Genomic DNA, 19,483 nt, shown 5'->3' on the forward strand with positions numbered 1-19,483 from the left:
CTTCTGAGTAGCTGGGACTACAGGCTCCCACCGCCATGCCCAGCTAATTTTTGTATTTTTAGTAGAGACAGGGTTTCACCACGTTGGCCAGGCTGGTCTCAAACTCCTGACCTCTGGTGCTCCAGCCACCTCGGCCTCCCAAAGTGATGGGATTACAGGCGTGAGCCACTGTGCTCGGCCACACCATTAGTTTATAATGTAACATATAATCTTTGTAACATGTAATCTTTATATGTAACAATAATCTTTGAAAGATAGTACTGTCCATGGTGATCAATTGCTATTATGGATCTCAGAGACAAATATTACAAGTATACATATAGTAACTTAAAAGATGAACTTTTCACTGATATCCTAGACATGGCTTTTAGCATAATTATTATAGGTAAAATCCCATACTCATGAAATATGATTTAACACTTAATTAGCCTTGTGCTCTTTGGCAACATATGTACTAAAATTGGAACAATACAAAGAAGTTTAGCAAATTTCTTTTACTATTTAAAATTAAACAAATACCAACAATCAGACTCTCTATGACTCTGAGATGCCTCTTACCTCACTGTTGTATAGCCACAGGCGCATATCTTCCTCTTTAATGCGCAGCCTTTGAGATAGATATTCGTGAATTTCCTTGATGGTCTGCATTCGACTAAAACAGCCTGTATAGGCTAATACCCGCTTTAAAGGTGCATTCGGAGAAGGTACATTTCCTATGGTTACAGTAATCACAGTAAGAAAAAAGGCAGATGTGAAAAAGAAGCACCCCTCTCAGCAATGGGGACCATACTATTTTAGGAAATAATAATGAGAAATGAGAATTACAGGTGTAATAATTTTATAAATGAAGAGTACCAAAACGCTTTAAAATGCAGGCAGGAGACCCAAGTTCTTTTTGTTTGTTTGTTTGTTTGTTTGTTTTTAATAGATGGAGTCTTGTTATGTTGCCAGACTAGAGTGCGGTGCTGTGATTTTGGCTCACTGCAGCCTCCACCTCCAAGGCTCAAGCAATCCTCCCACCTCAGCCTCCTGAGTAGCTGGTACTACAGGTGCACGCCACCACATCTGGCTAATTTTTGTACATTTTTGGGTAGAGACAGGGTCTTGGCCATATTGCCCTGGCTGGTCTCTAACTCCTGGGCTCAAGCGATCCACCTGCCTCGGCTTCCCAAAGTGCTGGGATTACAGGTGTGAGCCACCAAGCCCAGCCTTCCAGGTGTTTTAAAGTGAGTCCAAAGCCTCAACTTTGAAAAGATGAGCAAAGGCCCAAGGCCCAAGGTCCAAATTATTGGCAATATTTGGATACCAAGAAGAGTAGGAACATGCCAGAAAACAATTGGCATTGATATCTGGCTGCACTCAGCTGAGTCACAGTCAATAGCAAAATGAAATAAAACTCAGTGAAAAAAAAATTAGGACAGAGTTAAAAAAAAAAAAAACTCAGTGGAGGAGGTAAAATGAGATGGGATTTGAATCCCACAGATAGATAATTGGATTCACCTGGTCCACTTTCCTAAACTTTCTTTGAATCACTAATCCCATCACTTTCAGTCATTAAGTAGCTCAATTATCTGGCACAGTGGTACAACTGCACCAGAAAACATATGTATATCTATTACATATCAATTAAAAAAAAAGAGAATTTGACATAAAATTCTAAATAGGTATAGACTCTACATAGCCAAACAGAGTTTTTTATTATCATTATTTGAGATAAGGTCTCATTCTGTTGCTCAAGCTGTAGTGCGGTGCGGCAATCATGGCTCACTGCAGCCTCAACCTCCCTCATTCAAGTGATCCTCGCACTTTAGCTTCCCAAGTAGAGACAGGGTCTCTCTATGTTGCCCAGGCTGGTTTTGAACTCCAAGGCTCAGGGAATCCTCCCACCTTGGCCCCCCAAAGTTCTGGGATTACAAACTGAGATTACAAGTGTGTGAGCTACCACATTTGGTCAAAACAGAGTTTCAAATTGAAGCCAAGAAGTTTCCCATGGCCAAATAAACAAGTGCCCAATAAGGAAAAAAAAAAAATCGTATTAGCCTGTCCACCCAGTAAGTTGACGACAGACATGACCTTGAATTCCTGAAGGGCTAAAGGTAGAAACAAGAAGAGTGGTAATACAGGGGAAAAGAGTAAAGAGTGAAGGAAGAATATATCAAGTCTCACTACATACTTCAAAAGAGGAGGGGTATGAAATGACAAGAGATTATGGAAATCAAAGAGAGGTGGCAAAAAAAAAAAAAAACATCATTAAACCCTGGTTAACTACTCCGCCAAAAATCTAGACAAAACTGTGGCTTAAAATAGTCTTCTCTGCTGAGGCTGTATTTTATTGAGCAACCCAACTTAAAAATATAAACTTATCAATATAATGTACATTCCAAATAATTTTCTACCCATTCAATCATGAGTTAGCTTCTTTCTTCCTGAAAAATGCTTTTAATGAGTCTTCCCCACTAAATAAAGCTGAGAAAATATGTGCATCATCTACTTTTTTAGAACTTCAGAAAAGGAATTCCCTCACCTAAGGCAGGCTAAAAAGTCACCTAAAAAACAATGACTTCTATAGCCTTGTCTGTAGAAAAGCCTACATTTAAGTAATTGTAACTGTAAGAAGGTTTGAATACTTGTCACTTCAAAAGGAATAAAAGAGCCTAGTAAACAGCTGTAATAAATTGAGTATTTGAGAAAGATGAACATCATGTTATGGCAGAACAAAACCCAACCCGTGATCAGTTTTTGAACACATAGCAAGCAAATCTTTTACAATCAGCAAGCAAAGGATAATCTCTAAAAGAAAACAAAAGAGCAAATTTCTCCAATTATACATTTTAGGATTAGTTGTAAGATTACAGCAAGAAAGCATATTTTTATAAATTTTAAAATGATTAATGATTGATTTCACAACTAATTAGCAAGGAATAAAATTTCAAATTAAAACCAAATTTGGAGCATCTGAAATATGCAGTTCTAGGATTCAGAAGCATATAAGTATAGTATTCAAGTCAATCTCTATTGTCTTAAGCCACAATATGAAAATTTGAGTTTTAGAAAGTTTTTATAGCATAGCTCATTAAGCAGGCAGCCACTTACTATACATACTTTTGTGCTTTTGAATAGCACCAACAAATCTAGTGGAATTTATAGAAGCAGCAAAAATCTAGGATCAGCACAAGAGTTACAAAGAATACCTACTAAAAGTGCAACAACACATCTTGCCTCTCATGTTATCTTTCTTTTATATATTTTTTTGAGACAGAGTCTCACTCTGTTGCCCAGAATAGAGTGCATGGCGCGATCTCGGCTCACTGCAACCTCTGCCTCCTGGGTTCAAGCAGTTCTCATGCCTCACCCTCCCGAGTAGCTGGGATTACAGACACCTGCCACCACACATGGCTAATTTTTGTATTTTTAGTAAAGATGGGGTTTCACCATGTTGACCAGGTTGGTCTCGAACTCCTGACCTCTGGTGATTCAGCAGCCTCGGCCTCCCAAAGTGCTGGGATTACAGGCATGAGTCACTGCACCTGGCCTCATGTTATCTTTCAAAGAGAATTGAAAAAGTTGTAATGGGTGCCATGGAAGCAAGGCTAATCCTTCTAATGGAAAATTAAATCAAGAATGTTTCATAAAGGTTCTATCTCACTGTTCCTTTTTTAAAAAATGGTTTCCTTCACTTTTTATTTTTTTTTAAGAGACAAGCTCTTGCTCTGTTACCCAGGCTGGAGTATGGTGGCACAATCATAGCTCACCACAACCTTGAACTCCTGGGCTTAAGAGATCTTCCCACCTCAGCCTCTTGAGTAGCTGAGACTACAGGGCACACCACTTTGCCCAGCTAATTTAAACAATTTTTTGTAGAGACAGGATCTTACTATGTTGCCCAGGCTGGTCTCAAACTCCTGGCTTCAAATGATCTTCCTCCCCAGTCTCCCAAACTGTTGGGATTACAGGCATCAGCCACCATGCCCAGCCTCACTGTTCTTTGATTTTGCTGTTTTCCCCAAAGACAAAGTTTGGTAGACAGGGGCCAATGCTTTGCTATAATTACTACGAAACACTACTGAAAGAATTCTTACCAAACAGGCCGAGGTGGATGGATCACGAGGTCAGGAGATAGAGACCATCCTGGCTAACATGGTGAAACCCCGTCTCTATTAAAAATGCAAAAAATGAGCCAGGTGTGGTGGTGGGCGCCTGTAGTCCCAGCTACTCAGGAGGCTGAGGCAGGAGAATGGTGTGAACCTGGGAGGCGGAGCTTGCAGTGAGCCGAGATCGTGCCACTCCACTTCAGCCTGGGCGACAGAGCAAGACTCCATCTCGAAAAAAATAAAAAATAAAAAATAAAAGAATCTTCATATATTAAATGAATATAACCTTTAATGAAGATACAAAACTAACTTTGTTCAATTTCAAAGGAGAGCAAGTACTTCTTTTGGTCAGGGTTTAGAGGTAGTTCTTGCATACTAAGTTATTTAAATTATAATAACATGCTGGTATTGTTAACATAGTCTGAGAATTTGTGTAAATGGTTGCTCATGATTATTAATATTATTTTTTGAGACAGAGTCTCACTCCGTCACCCAGGCTGGAGTGCAACGGTGTGATCTTGGCTCACTGCAACCTCCACCTCCTGGGTTCAAGCGATTCTCTTGCCCCAGCCTCCCAAGTAGCTGAAATTACAGCACCACCACGCCCAGCTAATTTTTGTGTTTTTAGTAGAGACAGGGTTCGTGTTGGCCAGGCTGGTCTTGAACTCCTGACCTCAAGTAATCTGCCCACCTCAGCCTCCCAAATTGTGGGATTACAGGCATGAGCCACTGTGCTCAGCTTATTATTTCTTTACTGCTGAAGAATAATTTCAAACATTTGCAAAGCAAAAGCACAGAGCAAGTCTTGCCCGTCAATAAAGTTTAACCTTACAGAGAAATGAAAGGGGAACTTTTTGCATGTTATACATTAAAATGGGAACTACTTTATATGTCATTTTGATAGGCTTGATGTTTTTTCAAAGCAAATATATCACTTTAATCTTCAAAAATATGCCTTTTGCTCTGTACTCTCTGTCTCTTATGTAAAGCCTCTTTAGATCAAGCATGAGAAATGTATCATGTTTTGCCAAAAAACCAAACAACAACAAAAACCTTAAAAAACAAAAAAGATGATAGTATAAGAGGAATTGCTTTTTACAAATTTGAGTGGAGTTGAAAAGACCAGTCAATGACTGGTATACTACTACTTAGTCTAGTAACAATTTACAATGGCTTGTCTCAAAGAAATAAAGCATGTAAAATCTATTTCTATTTATTTTCTTTGTAAGTAGAAAAGGAAACATCCCATCTCAGTTTGCTGTTGGAATGTTTGCTTCAACCCCTCATCTAGTCTTGTGCATGACCATAGTTCTAAGCCCTGTAAAAATTAATTACTGAGTCTGTAGGAAAGCTGATGGGAATGTGTATCAATACAGTGGCACCAGACTTCGAGCAACGTAGTTTTCACCTTTTTTTTTTTTTTTTTTTTTTTTTTTAAGGAAATGCATGGTATTCTTGCTGCATTCTTAAGTTACCTCTCGGTAAATGCTGAGGAAACATTCTCAGGCTCATCATACCCATATTCACCCAGATGTTAGACTGCTGTGTCCGAGTGGCAGGCTGCTGTCTCAGGAAGAGAAGATAGCGGGGAAATAATTCCAGCTCTGGGATGTCTGTCTTGCTGTTCTTGATAACCTATTGTTTTAAAAGATAAAAAGAGATCACTAAAAAAAGAAACAAAACTTGCCATTTTAATCTAACTTCTGAGATTTATTTCTAAACCAAAATGTCCAACAAGTTCACTAGCTACATTTCAGTAATTACTGAAACTCACACATTTAAGTTACATGGATCTGATTACTGTTAAAATTCCTGCTCCGAAACCCATTTCCTAAGATTATAACTCCTTGTAGATATCTTCTCCCCTTTTATTTAAAAGCAAGTAACAACACTGAGGAAAAAAAAAAACCCTAAGTATTATCTATAATTCTACTACCCTCACACCATAAGTCTTTTCATTTTTACATATTTCATGTATATAAATGATTGACATTTTAAGGACAAATTCATAAAAATTGAGTTACAAGTCAAAAACTATGGAAGTATTCATTAGCTATATAGTCATGCTGCCATCTAAAGTTTAGCAATTTACACTATTGCCAGTAATGTGTAAGTATACTACTCTCATAAAACCTTATCACTGGACATCATTTAAAAACATCCACATTTCGTTAATATGAAGAGTATTATAAATTGCTTAAATTTTTATTTTTTGTACTAGTAGTGAGGATGCAACTGTTCCCATATAAAAATTTACTACGTTCTACTTGCGTAACCAGTCTGTTCACATATGTTTTGTCTATGACTTAAACAAAAAATTTGGATGTAAAAAAAACTCAGATTTCACATTGTTGGAACAGGATTTTTAAGTAGTTTTAACCTGCTTATAAGCCCACAGACACAGGAAAACATTTAATTATCAAAATATTGTTGTAAGAGTAGTAAATGATCAATTTCATATTCTAAAAGGATAGCAGGGTTAACACTGAAACTCCTTTTTTTTTTTTTTGAGACACAGTCTCGCTCTGTCACCCAGGCTGGAGTGCAGTGGCCCGATCTCGGCTCACCGCAAGCTCTGCCTCCCGGGTTCTTGCCATTCTCCCGCCTCAGCCTCCCAAGTAGCTGGGAATACAGGAGCCCGCCACCACGCCTGGCTAATTTTGTTTTTGTATTTTTAGTAGAGACAGGGTTTCACCGTTGTTAGCCAAGATGGTCTCGATCTCCTGACTTCGTGATCCGCCCGCCTCAGCCTCCCAAAGTGCTGGGATTACAGGCGTGAGCCACCGCGCCCAGCCAACACTGAAATTCTTGAAAACAGAAACTCTGTACAGAGTCTTTTAAGTCTCAGGTGACCAGGCTTTATTTTCCTTTACTCTCATAACCAATATCTTCTGCAACAGAACTTTTTTTTTTTAGTATCAAGAGGGAGCAATAAAAATCAAATAAAAACAACACTACAAGCCAGGTGCAGTGGCTCATGCCTGTAATACCAGCACTTTGGGAGGCCAAGGCAGAAGGGCTGCTTGAGACCAGGAGTTCGAGACCAGCCTGGGCAACACAGCAAGATTCTGTCTCTTAAAAAAATTTAAAAATTAGCTGTTATGGTGGTGTGTGCCTGCAGTCTTAGCTATTGGGGAGGCTGAGGTGGGAATATTGTTCAAACCCTGGAGCTTGAGGTTATTTTTCATAAACGTAATTATTAAGAACTCAAAATCAACATCAAAATTACATTAGTCTGTTTTATAACAGATTTTTACTCTTTTTAGAAGTTAACGTACCATATCTCATCTATACAAAACCTTCCTGGCATAAGGAAGTTTTAGCTTGGACATTATAAAAGGAAGAGTGTTTCTTTCTTTTTTTTTTTTTTGAGACGGAATCTCGCTCTGTCACCCAGGCAGGAGTGCAATGGTGTGCAGTCTTGGCTCACTGCAACCTCTGCCTCCTGGGCTCAGACAATTCTCCTGCCTCAGCCTACCAAGTAGCTGGAACTACAGGAGTGTGCCACCACACTGGATAATTTTTGTATTTTTATTAGACACGGGGTTTCACTATGTTGGCCAGGCTGGTCTCGAACTCCTGACCTCGTGATCTGCCTGCCTCGGCCTTCCAAAGTGCTGGGATTACAGGTGGAAGAGTGTTTCTTAATATACCAAAACAAATCCCACCAAAACATCTTGTTATATTTTACTTCATCAACAATGTAAAAAGTGAGTGTCCAGAGTACCGAGTGCTGTTTACCGTGTAAGCACAACAAATGGTGCTATATACTAATATTTTAATATAATATTCTGTTATCATATGTTGTGATCTTTTATATGCCCCTCCTTCAAAAACATAAACCACAAAAATCCACCAAAAGCTACAAGAAGAATCCAATCCCTAACTAGATACTTGTGTGATTGTTAGGAATAGTAGTTTCAGAAATAACCTCTGCATCACGCCCTACATTCACTGAACTTTTTGGCACTGGCTCTTGGCCTGTCTTCCCCTCCAGCCTAAGTTCCACATATCCTAGGTGATGTCTACTTTTATGTGGATAACACATTCAACAGCCTCCTATTTCCTTGCCTTTATTTATGAATGAATGAACGAATGTGAAGGAACTTAACATTGAACAATCCACACAGGTTCAGAACACTCTTCTACCACAAGGTAAGAGCTACTTTGTGGTTAGTGAGAGTCACATAGAAAAAGTAACAGAAGACCCCCATCTATGACTGCTCCTTATATAAGGCACTATTAACTATACTTACTGGTCTAGGTAAGGCCAGGTTTGCTCCATACCAGTGATAAAGTGCTCTCCACACAGGTTCTGGGACCATTTCATAGTCTCTTCCATGAATCAGCTGTGGAGTTCGTTTTAATCGTCCTCCTTCTAGTGTTAATGATGTAGCCTGAGAAAGAATAGAATGACAATGTTGACTTTCAATATTACAAAAGTTTTTGGGTCTCAGCAATACCTAGAAACAGGAAAACAAACTCATATATCACCACCCAGTTTCATGTTGCTGGAAAAACTTAATTTTTTTTTTTTTTTTTTTTTTGAGACGGGGTCTTGTTCCGTCACCCAGGCTGGAGTACAGTGGCGCGATCTTCGCTTGCTGCAGCCTCCGCCTCCCGGGTTCCAGTGATTCTCCTGCCTCAGCCTCCCGAGTATCTGGGATTACAGGCACACGTCACCATGCCCGGCTAATTTTTGTATTTTTAGTAGAGACGGGGTTTCACCATGTTGGCCAGGCTGGTCTCAAACTCCTAACCTCAGGTGATCTGCCCACCTCAGCCTCCCAAAGTGCTAGGATTACAGGCATGAGCCACCACGTCCAGCAAAAAAACTGAATTTTTAATGAGAGATTTTTATTTTTGACTTTCAAAATAAACTATGTAAGAAATGAAACTCAAAGCATATCATTTGGAAAAATCACTAAAGCACTTGAAATAACTTCACAGATTTCTTTCAAACAATAAAAAATACTAGTTTGGAAAAAAAAATTCATACATAGCGTATGTGAAACAACATTTTCAGAATAGCTGTCCTAAGTAAGAATAACAATAATGCCAAGGGTTACTAAACTACTTCTATGTAAGTTCTAAATCATAAATATTCTCACAGAAATGTACTATACAAAGAGATGTCCATCTATAATACAGTAATTAAATGAACCATCAATGTTTTGCTATGTGCTAAAACCTCTGAAATGAAATTTATTAATAGCTTGCAAGAGAATAATTTTAAGTTTAGATGTAAAATTACTTACCTTTACTGGTTCTTGAGTTACTAATGGCTGATTATCAATAGCCCCTGGTTTCTGAGGGTTAAGGTGCAACAAAATATTCCCATTGGCTCCCAGCAAACACTGGTTGTTATTGTCAGAAGTGTTATGTTGTCGAGCAAAGCAAACATCTGCCCCTGGTGTGGCAGAATACAGAAAGCCTATAAAAAAAAAAGAGGATAGAATCTCTTATTTTTAGTTATTATACATAAACAGGCTTGAGGATATGAACTCAATGCCCATGTATTGTATTACTCTGTTGACATGTCAGTACAGATTAAGATTCTGGTAATTCTGTAGAAGACAGGAAATGTTATCCTTCTCTGAACAATACATGGCATGGTACTAAAAATAAGAGCTTTTAAAATTATTACCAAATGAACATTTGGCCACCCTCCTAGAATATCTAATAATTCATAATGAGAATTATATGTCCTCCGACTGGAAGGGAAGAGCTGGGCTAAGTGGCTGGGCTTCTACATAGCATCCTTTAATTATTTTCCTCAAACTAGAAAAATATTCCAAATGTTCTTGGTAGATAATGGTGATATGAAGTCACTAAATTAAAAGAAAACTAAAACAAGAACTCCAACAAAAGAGTAATGGGGGCTAGATCCTATTGTATCTATGAACTCAATGTCCACAAGTTCTTTTGAAAGAAATACATGATCTTTACAATACGAAAATATGCACAGAAGATGATTAACCATGGCTTAGAGTTGTGAGCCTCAGTGGTATTTTAAGCCATTTCAACTCTCAACTACATGCTAATCTTTGGTAAACAATCTAGCAGTCATCACTTTGTAACCTTCTGCCTGTGGTATGCAGCCTTTGGGTGTCACAAGTTATATGGTAAGCACATACCAAACAGGATCTTTAGATGGGGTTAAGAAATAATCCTCATGTTAAAGCTGATGACAGCACTTCTAGGACTGCTAAGTGATCTTTGTAATACCAGAAAGGGAGGGAAGAAGCAGATTCTACAAGGAGCTTTGTGAAGAAAATGCTAGCTCTGTCCAATTTGCTTACACCTTCCACAGAAAAGGAAAAGAACATCTTGGAAGAAATAATAACACACGCCAGGAGGAATGGCTCATGCCTGTAATCTCAGCACTTTGGGAGGCCAAGGCTGGAGGACTGCTTGAAGCCAGAAGACTGCAACCAGCACAGGCAACATGAGACCTCGTCTCTACAAAACAATTAAAAAATTAGCTGTGTGTGGCAGTGTACACCTGTAGTCCCAGCTACCAGGTAGGCTAAGACAGGAGGATCATTTGAGCCCAGGAACTGGAGGTTACAGTGAGCTATGATCATGCCATTGCACTACAGCCTGGGCAACAGAGTGACACCCTGTCTCTTTAAGTAAATAAATAAATAACAATAGGGTAAGATTGAGGGTTCTGCTACTGTACCAGAATAACAGCAATCAACTCAATTCAGCTGGGCCATAGAAATACCACAGCATCTTCCTTGTAGGTGTGGAAACATGAAGTTTTAGGTAAGTACCAAGGCCTAAAGGGAATTATGGGAGGCATCTGAATTCTTTCTCAGTATTTTAACAAAATAATCTCCATATTTTGGCCTGAAATATACATAGAATCTGATGTGGGGTGCATTTAATTTAATTATGTTTATGGCTAGAGAGAGTCCTGGAGATGACTATCTTTGAAAATTTAAATTTACTGACTAAATAATTTAATAGCAATAGGGAAAGATGGGGCTTGATTGATGAAAATAGTGAAAATAGCCGCATGTGATGGCTCATGCCTGTAATCCCAGCACTTTGAGAGGCTGAGGCCAGAGGACTGCTTGAGCCTGGGAGTTTGAGACCAGCCTGGGCAACATGGCAAAACCCTATCCCTAAAATAAAAACACACAAAAAATGGCTGGGCATGGTGGCGCGTGCCTGTAGTCCCAGCTTCTTAGGAGGCTGAGGTGGGAGAATTGCTTGGGGCCAGGAGGCAGAGGCTGCAGTAAGCCGTGATTATGCCACTGTACTCCAGCCTGGGTGACAGAGCGAGATCCTGTCTCAAAAGAAAATAGTGAAAATATTTCCATATTGAGAGATTTAATGAAGTATAATATGGAAAAGAGGTTTTCTTTGTAAAAATACTAATATATTCAAGAATTTTACAATTGACCATTTCATTCAAAACTTATTTCTGTTAATGGAAGCCTGATCTCCTATTACCATATTCACTACAGCCTCTGTCAAATTAGACTGCCTTAATAACTATCCATGGGGAGGCCAGGCATGGTGGCTCACGCCTGTAATCCCAGCACTTTGGGAGGCCGAGGCAGGCAGATCACGAGGTTGGGAGTTCAAGACCAGCCTGGCCAACATAGTGAAACCCCATCTCTACTAAAAAAATACAAAAATTAGCCAGGCGTGGTGGCGGGTGCCTGTAATCGCAGCTACTCAGGAGGCTGAGGCAGGACAATCGCTTGAACCCAGAAGGTGGAGGTTGCAGTGAGCAGAGATCGCGCCACTGCGCTCCAGCCTGGGCAAAATGTGAAACTCAGTCTCAAAAAAAAAAAAAAAAAAGAAAAGAAAAGAAAGACCTATCCAGGGGGAATAAACCAATAAACCTCAGGGGAATAGGTCATATTTACCGCTGCCAGCAGTTTCTGAGGCTTCAGATGCAGTAGAAATGTTGTCTGAAAATTTCTCTTCTGTAGTATTCACGTAACTGAGGCTGCTTCCAATTCTATCTTCGACCTGCTCCATAGGATGGGCTGCAGTTCCAAATGAGTATTTTCCTCCATTCAAAACAGATGATGGCTCAATTACCACAGGGTTGGCATCCTAAAATCAGGAAATCAGAGAATAAGAAGCAAAGTTTATAATCTGACAACTATGTAGTCTTCAGAAACAAATCTCACAATTATCTATTTTTTTAAGTCTCCTGTGGTTGGCCACAGACATTTAAAAACATTCTAATACATAGCTATATTTTAATCTCTTTCAGGAGGAAAAGTATGTATATAGATAAAATTGGCAAGGTAGACAAAACAGACTGTGAAGGATTTTGTGCCACATAAAGTAATTTACACTCTATTCTGTTGGCAGCCATTTTTTTAACATTAAAAGTAAATAAAGCTTAAATTTTTTTCTTTTCTTCCTTATTTCCCATAGTACATGAATGTATATAATTTTTTTATTATTAAAGATTACATGGTCAATGTAGAAAATATAGAAAACATGAAGAAAATATCACATGTACTCAGATTCCATCATTTAGCAATAACTGTGTTTTAGTTCTTATGACTGAAAAATATGTATATATGTAAAAGATGAGTGGTGTATGTACATAGAGTGAAGGGCAATGCTATGACTTATACCTATGTGACCTTCTACAATAACTGAACACACCTTTAATCCCAGCACTTTGGGAGACCGAGGCAGATGGATCACTTGAGGTCAGGAGGCCAAAATGGTGAAATCCCATCTCTACTAAAAATACAAAAATTAGCTGGGGGTGGTGGAGGGCTCCTGTAATCCCAGCTACTCGGGAGGCTGAGGCAAGAGAATCACTTGAACCCGGGAGGTTGCAGTAAGCTGAGATTGCGCCACTGTACTCCAGCCTAGGCAACAGAGTGAGACTCTGTCTCAAAAAAAAAAAAAAAAAAAAAAATCATATTTTTTTCTTTCACCAAACATTGTATTGTTTATATAGTGCTAATATGCTAATCTAACATTTCATATTTTCTCTATTTCTCTTTTTAACAAAGAGAGAACAATCCTAAATAGCAGAGTCTTCAAAAGGCAACACTATTAGCTGGAATTTAATAATATTATTGCCTTCTATTTCTGGCAAGCGACACTAGTTTTCTTTTCTTTTTTTCTTTTTTTTTTTTTTTTGAGACGGAGTCTTACTCTGTCACCCAGGCTAGAGTGCAGTGGCGTGATCTCGGGTCACTGCAACCTCCACCTCCCAGGTTCAGGAGATTCTCCTGCCTCAGCCTCCCGAGTAACTGGAATTACAGGTGCATGCCACCAAGCCCAGATAATTTTTGTAGTTTTCATAGAGATAGGGTTTCACCATACTGGCCAGGCTGGTCTTGAATTCCTGACCTCAGGTTATCTGCCCGCCTGGGCCTCCCAAAGTGCTGGAATTACAGGCGTGAGCCACCATGCCCATTCAGTTTTTCTTTTCTTTTTTTTTTTTTTGAGACAGGGTCTCGCTATGTTGGCTAGGTCAGTCTTGAACTCCCGGCCTCAAGCAATACTCCTGCCTGGGCCTCCCAAAGGGCTAGGATTAAAGGCGTGAGCCACTGTGCCCAGTGGACATAAGTTTTCTACTTAAAGTAGTGATATAAAGTTTCCTTTGAAAATATGATTAAATAACTAATTAATCACAAACAGTTATAAATTTCTTTGTTCCTTGTCTGTTACCACTGCTTCACTTTAGTAGCCAAAAAATTTTTTTAAATTTTAAGTAAAAATGGCATAATTATTTATGTAAGTTAACTGTATGGCATTACATGAGAAAAATGGTGACCATAGTTTAAAAAAATGATTAAGAAGTAGGAATCTATATTACATATGAATTTTGGACCATCAATTTTTAAAATTTAGATGGTTCACCAAAGTAGTCAAAATTCTTTTTTTTTTTTTGAGACAGAGTCAAGCTCTGTCGCCCAGGCTGGAGGTCAGTGGTGCAGTCTCGGCTCACAGCAACCTCCGCCTCTAGCTTCAAATGATTCTCCTGCCTCAGCCTCCTGAGTAGCTGGAACTACAGGCACCTGCCACCACACACAGCTAATTTATGTATTTTTAATAGAGACAGGGTTTCACCATGCTGGCCTCAAACTCCTGAACACAAGTGATCCACCTGCCTTGGCCTCCCAGTGTGCTGGGATTACAGGCGTGACCCACTGTGCCTGGCCTAGAAACCAAAATCCTGTAGACAAGACAGTAGAACCAAAATGATCTATGTCAAAAAAGAAGTATAAATTAGTCCTAAGTGTTAATTTTCTTAAAGATAATATCAAGCTTCTCACAGCTTTTCTAATATGGAATTCATACCAACACAAAATACATGACATTTAAATTAGGTTTCTTTTTTCTTTTTCTTTTTTTTTTTTTTTTTAATTAAAACAAGTTTTGGCCAGGGATGGTGGCTCATGTCTGTAATCCCTGCACTTTGGGAGCCAAGGTGGCTGGATCACTTGAGCTCAGGAGAGTTGGAGACCAGCCCGAGCAACGTGGATAGATCCCGTCTTTACAAAAAAATATTAAAAAAAAATAGTGGGGCATGGTGGTGTGCACCTTTAGTCCCCAGTAACTTGAGAGGCTGAGGTGGGAGGATGGCCTCAACCCAGGGGGTGGAGGTTGAAGTGAGTTGAGATCATGCCACTGCACTCCAGCCAGAGCAACAGAGCGAGACTCTTTGTTTTTTTTGTTTTTGTTTTTTTTTTTGGTAGAAATGGAGTCTTACTGTATTGCCCAGGCTGGTCTCAAACTCTAGCCTCAGGTAATCCTCCTGCCTCAGTCACCCAAAGTGGTGGGATTACAGGTGTGAGCCACCTCACCTGGTTAAATTAGGTTTCAAAAGAAAATTTTCCATAAACATAAATGCCTTATTATTTAAATCAATTCAACTTTTTTTTTTCACTTATGCTTTTTGATTTTTTTAGTCTGGAGTATAGCAAAGGCTCTTTTTTTAATACAGGGTCTTGCTCAGTCGCCTATAGCTCACTATACCCTTGAACTCCTGAGCTCAAGTGATCCTTCCACCTCAGCTAGGACCACAGGCATGCATCACCATGCCCAACTAATTTTTAAAGTTTTCATAGAGATGGGGTCTCAATATGTTACCCAGACTGGTCTCAAACTCCTGGAGGATCCAAACAATCCTCCTGCCTTGGCCTCCCAAAGTACTAGGATTACAGGCATGAGTCACCCGGCCAAAGGCATTTTTTCATTTTTAAAGTTCTCTATGTGATCTCACTACATATGCAGCCAGAATTAATAACTATTGCCCTAGTGAGGATTATAGTCTCATGCATTTGTTTTTATAATGTGCTCCAGATGTTAAGAGCTTAGAAATTGACTTGTTATTAAATCTGCTACCTGCTCTGGAACTTGTGTTTTAGAAGAAGATTTAGATTTATTTAGTTTTCAGGTCATTTGCTTCCTGCCCATAAAGATGGAGCAAGACAGACAGCAAAACCATTTTGAAAGAGTAACAGCGCCACCTTTGAGAAAAATTAAAGTCTTCCAAGTCACTTTGTTTTCCTCCAGAAAAATCACTTTAGTTTTGCTATAAGTGATCTTAAATGATGTTTCAATAACCATCACATTTTTGGCAAGGTAATCCGTTTATAAATTTATACTCACTTCTATATTCCATTTATATAAAGTTGATGCATTACAAATTACTTTTTTTTTCCTTCTTTTTTTGAGACAGAGTCTCGCTTTGTTGCCCAGGCTGGAGTGCAGTGGTGCAATGTTGGGTCACTGCAACCTCTGCCTCCTGGGTTCAAGCAATTCTCCTGCCTCAGCCTCCGGAGTAGCTGGGATTACAGGCACGCACCACTGCGCCTGGCTAATTTTTGTATTTCTGGTGGAGACAGGGTTTCGCCACGTTGGCCAGGCTGGTCTTGAACCCCTGACCTCAGGTGATCCACCTGCCTTGGCCTCCCAAAGTGCTGGGGTTACAGGCGTGAGTCACTGCGCCCGACCACAAATTACTTTCTAAAAAATTTGTAGTAATATATTTTGAGGAAGATTGGGTCTATTTGAGCAAACAATTTTCTTCAAGTTTTCCTCTAAGATGGGCATGTAAGAGAATTTCAAGGAGTAATATTTGGAATTGTATCTTAAATGTTTTAACATGTTTGAAAGTCTTACATGGTGCCTATGTTTCTAAAGAAAATGTAAATGAAACCATTCCTGTAATAATGCTTCTCATTCTGAAGAGCTCAGTCCATAGGTTAAATCTATATATATCACTGGCAAGAAAACAGGATAATAAAAATATTACCAGGCATTAAATTTGCTAGGCTAAATTTTATAATAATTTGTGAACAGGATGATTCTAATAACTTCTCAGAGATTGCAACATTTGCCTCTAGCAACTGCGGTTCTACCACATGCTTTTAACATGGTACAGTGAGTAATAACCTTTAGACTTGGAGAATATGGGCTTTTCTTTGCTTCTCTTCCAATGCTCCAAACAAACTAGACTGGTCTGTCTTCTCATTGTCTTCGGCTTTCTTTTCTATTACAGGAACCTGATGCTCTCACTGTTCTCCACTGCCTGAAACTGTCAGCACAACTCAGGTTCCTTCTTCCCCTTCCTACACGCTTATTTTTCTTGTTCCTTCTACCCTTCTTGGCTTTCAGTGAAATAGCTACCTTTTCATCCGATTAATCTTATTACCACTTTCCTTCTATAAGATGAACAAACCAATCACAGTTATATATTGCAGAATCTTAGAGTCACTAGCTTTTTTTGACTGTTCATTTCTGGCTGCTTGCGGAAATTTTTGTTTTTCTAAAACATCAAAGGATCATGTTTTGTTTTTATTGACTTCAGGGGTCTGGAACTATTCAAAATTATCCTAGAACCCTGGTTTTCAGAAGATAGATTTCTAAATAGGTAAAGTTTCACCTGTAGAGAGAAATGTCCTCATTTTCTGAGTCAACAATTCACAAAAGGACTAGGTACTTATTTTAATATAAGAGAATTTTATTTTGAGATTTTAGGATTCCCTGTGAGTTGTATAAATAGTTTATGTGTTCTAAAATATGGGTCAAGATTCACCTTTTTCTCTATTGATGATACTACTACTTTTTATGCCCTGTACATAGGTATGTTACAAGAATCAATTAACAGTTATGTCAATTTCATATTTCACTAGTGACTGAAATGCTAGCTTTGGAAAAATAGAGGGCAGCATGGAGCAACAGATTAGGTACTAAGGCAGGACTCAGGACACTGAGCTCTAGAGTGCTAGATAAAGTAATAAAATAATTGTCTGATACAGCTTTGGGCAATTATAAAACCTAAGGACCTCAGAGGCTTCATTTGTAAATTCAGAGAAGAGAGGTGTTTCATTCCTTTTATTTCCCACTCAACTACACATGTCTGAGGCAGGAAAACAAGGCTGCCCCACTCGTGGCAGTCCTGACGACGATCCTCGAGGGCTGCTCTTGGCCTCCAGCCTTGGCTAAGGAGAACAGGGACCCCCCAAAGCCCATGGGAGAGAGGCACGAAAGGTGATTTAAAGTATCTTCTAGCTCTAAAGTTACGTGATAACTAAATAGGAAAATCTGCATGTGAATAGTAATAGCTGCTCCTTCATAGTTCTCAAAAAGGAAGATACACATTATGTAATGTAATAATGATAGAAAAGATTTCACCATTCTTCCCCATTTACATTTTTTTAGGAGATTACACATAGAAGAATAAAGCTTGACACATTAAAGCGGGGAAAGACTGGTAAGATTCCATGAGCAGAGACACAATCAAATTATTCATGCTCCAGTGAATCAGCAAATCTGGGGTTAGCCACTTCTAAGAAAGGATGGCTCATTTTTCCTGATCCCTTGGTCTCTGATCTTTCCATTTAGTCTTGCCAGTATTTGAAACATACTACCCTCACAATTAGTAATATTCGTAAGTAAATATGTCATTTTATGAAGAGAAAAAATTAAAGCTAAGTACTCTCTTAGGTAGGCAGATGAAGCTCTAAGATCAAATTATCTGACATGTCAACACTAATTTTCTTTTTCTTTTTTTTTTTTTTTTTTTTTTGAGATGGAGTCTCACTCTGTCATCCAGGATGGTGTGCAGTGGCATGATCTCGGCTCACTGCAACCTCTGCTTCTTGGGTTTAAGCGATTCTCCTGCCTCAGCCTCCCAAGTAGCTGGAACTGCAGGCACACGCCACCACGCCAGGCTAATTTTTATATTTTTAGTAGAGTCGGGGTTTCACCATGTTGGCCAGGCTGGTCTGGAACTCCTGGTCTCAAGTGATCTGCCTGCCTCAGCCTCCCAAAGAGCTGGGATTGCAGGTGTGAGCCATTGCACCTGGCCCAAATTTTTTTTTTTTTTTTTTTTAAACAAGGCGTTTGTCAAAGTGGCCACATGGACTGGAAAGAGAAATTTGATTTTTTTTTTTTTTTTTTTAAATACAGTCTCATTCTGTTGCCCAGGCTGGAGTGCAGTGGCATCATCTTGGCTCTCTACAACCTCTGCCTCCTAGGTTCGAGCTATTCTTGTGTCTCAGCCTCCTGAGTAGCTGGGATTACAGGCATACACCACCATACCCGGCTAATTTTTGTATTTTTAGTAGAGACGGGTTTTCTCCAGGTTGGGCAGGTTGGTGCTGAACTCCCAGCCTCAAGTGATCTGCCTGCTTTGGCATCCCAAAGTGCTGGGATAATAGGCGTGAGCCACCATGCCTGGCATGAAAGAAGAAATTTAAATCCTCATATAACTACTGCTACTACTACCACCATTATTACCTTTAACCTTATATAGAGTTTCTATCTGCCAGGCACTGGGCTAAGTGCTTCACATGTATTAACTCATTTAATTCTCACATCCCTACTTAAATAGATATTACTATTAATCTCATTGTTCATATGTGAAAACTGAGGTAGAGCAAGAAGTAGTAATTTATTCAAGGTCATAAAGCAAGTGCAAGGGACAAGAGTCCAAGCTCACTACAATTACCTTATTGAAGTTTCTCATAATAATAGCTACCTATTTAGTACTTACTATGTACCAGACACTGTTTTAAAATACTTAACAAGAGTCTGGGTGCCTGTAATCCTAGCACTCTGAGAGCCCAAGGCAGGAGAATCGCTTGAGCCCAGGAGTTCGAGACTAGCCTGGCAGGCATAGTGAGACCCCATCTCTACAGAAAATCAAAAAATTAGCCAGGTGTGGTAGTGCATGCCTGGAGTCTCAGCTACTCAGGAGGTGGGAGAATTGCCTCAGTCCATGAGGTTGAGGCTGTAGTGAGCTATGATTGTGCCACTACACTCCAGCCTGGGCAACAAAGGAAGATCCTGTCTCAACAAACAAGCAAACAACAACAACAAAACACTTAACATGCATCAAACTCATTTAATCCTCGTAACACTATGAGGGCGATTATTAT

At 39.3% G+C, this 19,483-nt stretch overlaps 1 protein-coding gene and 1 non-coding gene across 14 annotated transcripts in view; both read right to left on the minus strand.

The window, feature by feature from the left end:
• The window catches only part of USP32 (ubiquitin specific peptidase 32), a 245,090-nt gene that overhangs the window by 36,735 nt on the left and 188,872 nt on the right, over positions 1 to 19,483 (minus strand). For 7 of the 13 annotated variants that reach the window (XM_011525371.2, XM_011525374.2, XM_011525373.2 and 4 more), the window contains 5 exons: positions 11,978 to 12,170; positions 9,350 to 9,525; positions 8,348 to 8,488; positions 5,567 to 5,726; positions 559 to 713 (listed from right to left, as the gene is read on the minus strand). In XM_011525371.2, the coding sequence (XP_011523673.1) occupies positions 559 to 713; positions 5,567 to 5,726; positions 8,348 to 8,488; positions 9,350 to 9,525; positions 11,978 to 12,170 (825 nt within the window). The remainder of the gene's footprint in view (positions 1 to 558; positions 714 to 5,566; positions 5,727 to 8,347; positions 8,489 to 9,349; positions 9,526 to 11,977; positions 12,171 to 19,483) is intronic. The other 6 variants (XM_011525372.2, XM_011525376.2, NM_032582.4 and 3 more) reach the window with 1 other exon arrangement.
• Positions 17,455 to 17,584, minus strand: SCARNA20 (small Cajal body-specific RNA 20). The gene has a single exon (NR_002999.2).

The sequence above is a fragment of the Homo sapiens genome, chromosome 17 (assembly GCF_000001405.40).
Source record: "Homo sapiens chromosome 17, GRCh38.p14 Primary Assembly".
Classification (NCBI taxonomy): domain Eukaryota; kingdom Metazoa; phylum Chordata; class Mammalia; order Primates; family Hominidae; genus Homo; species Homo sapiens.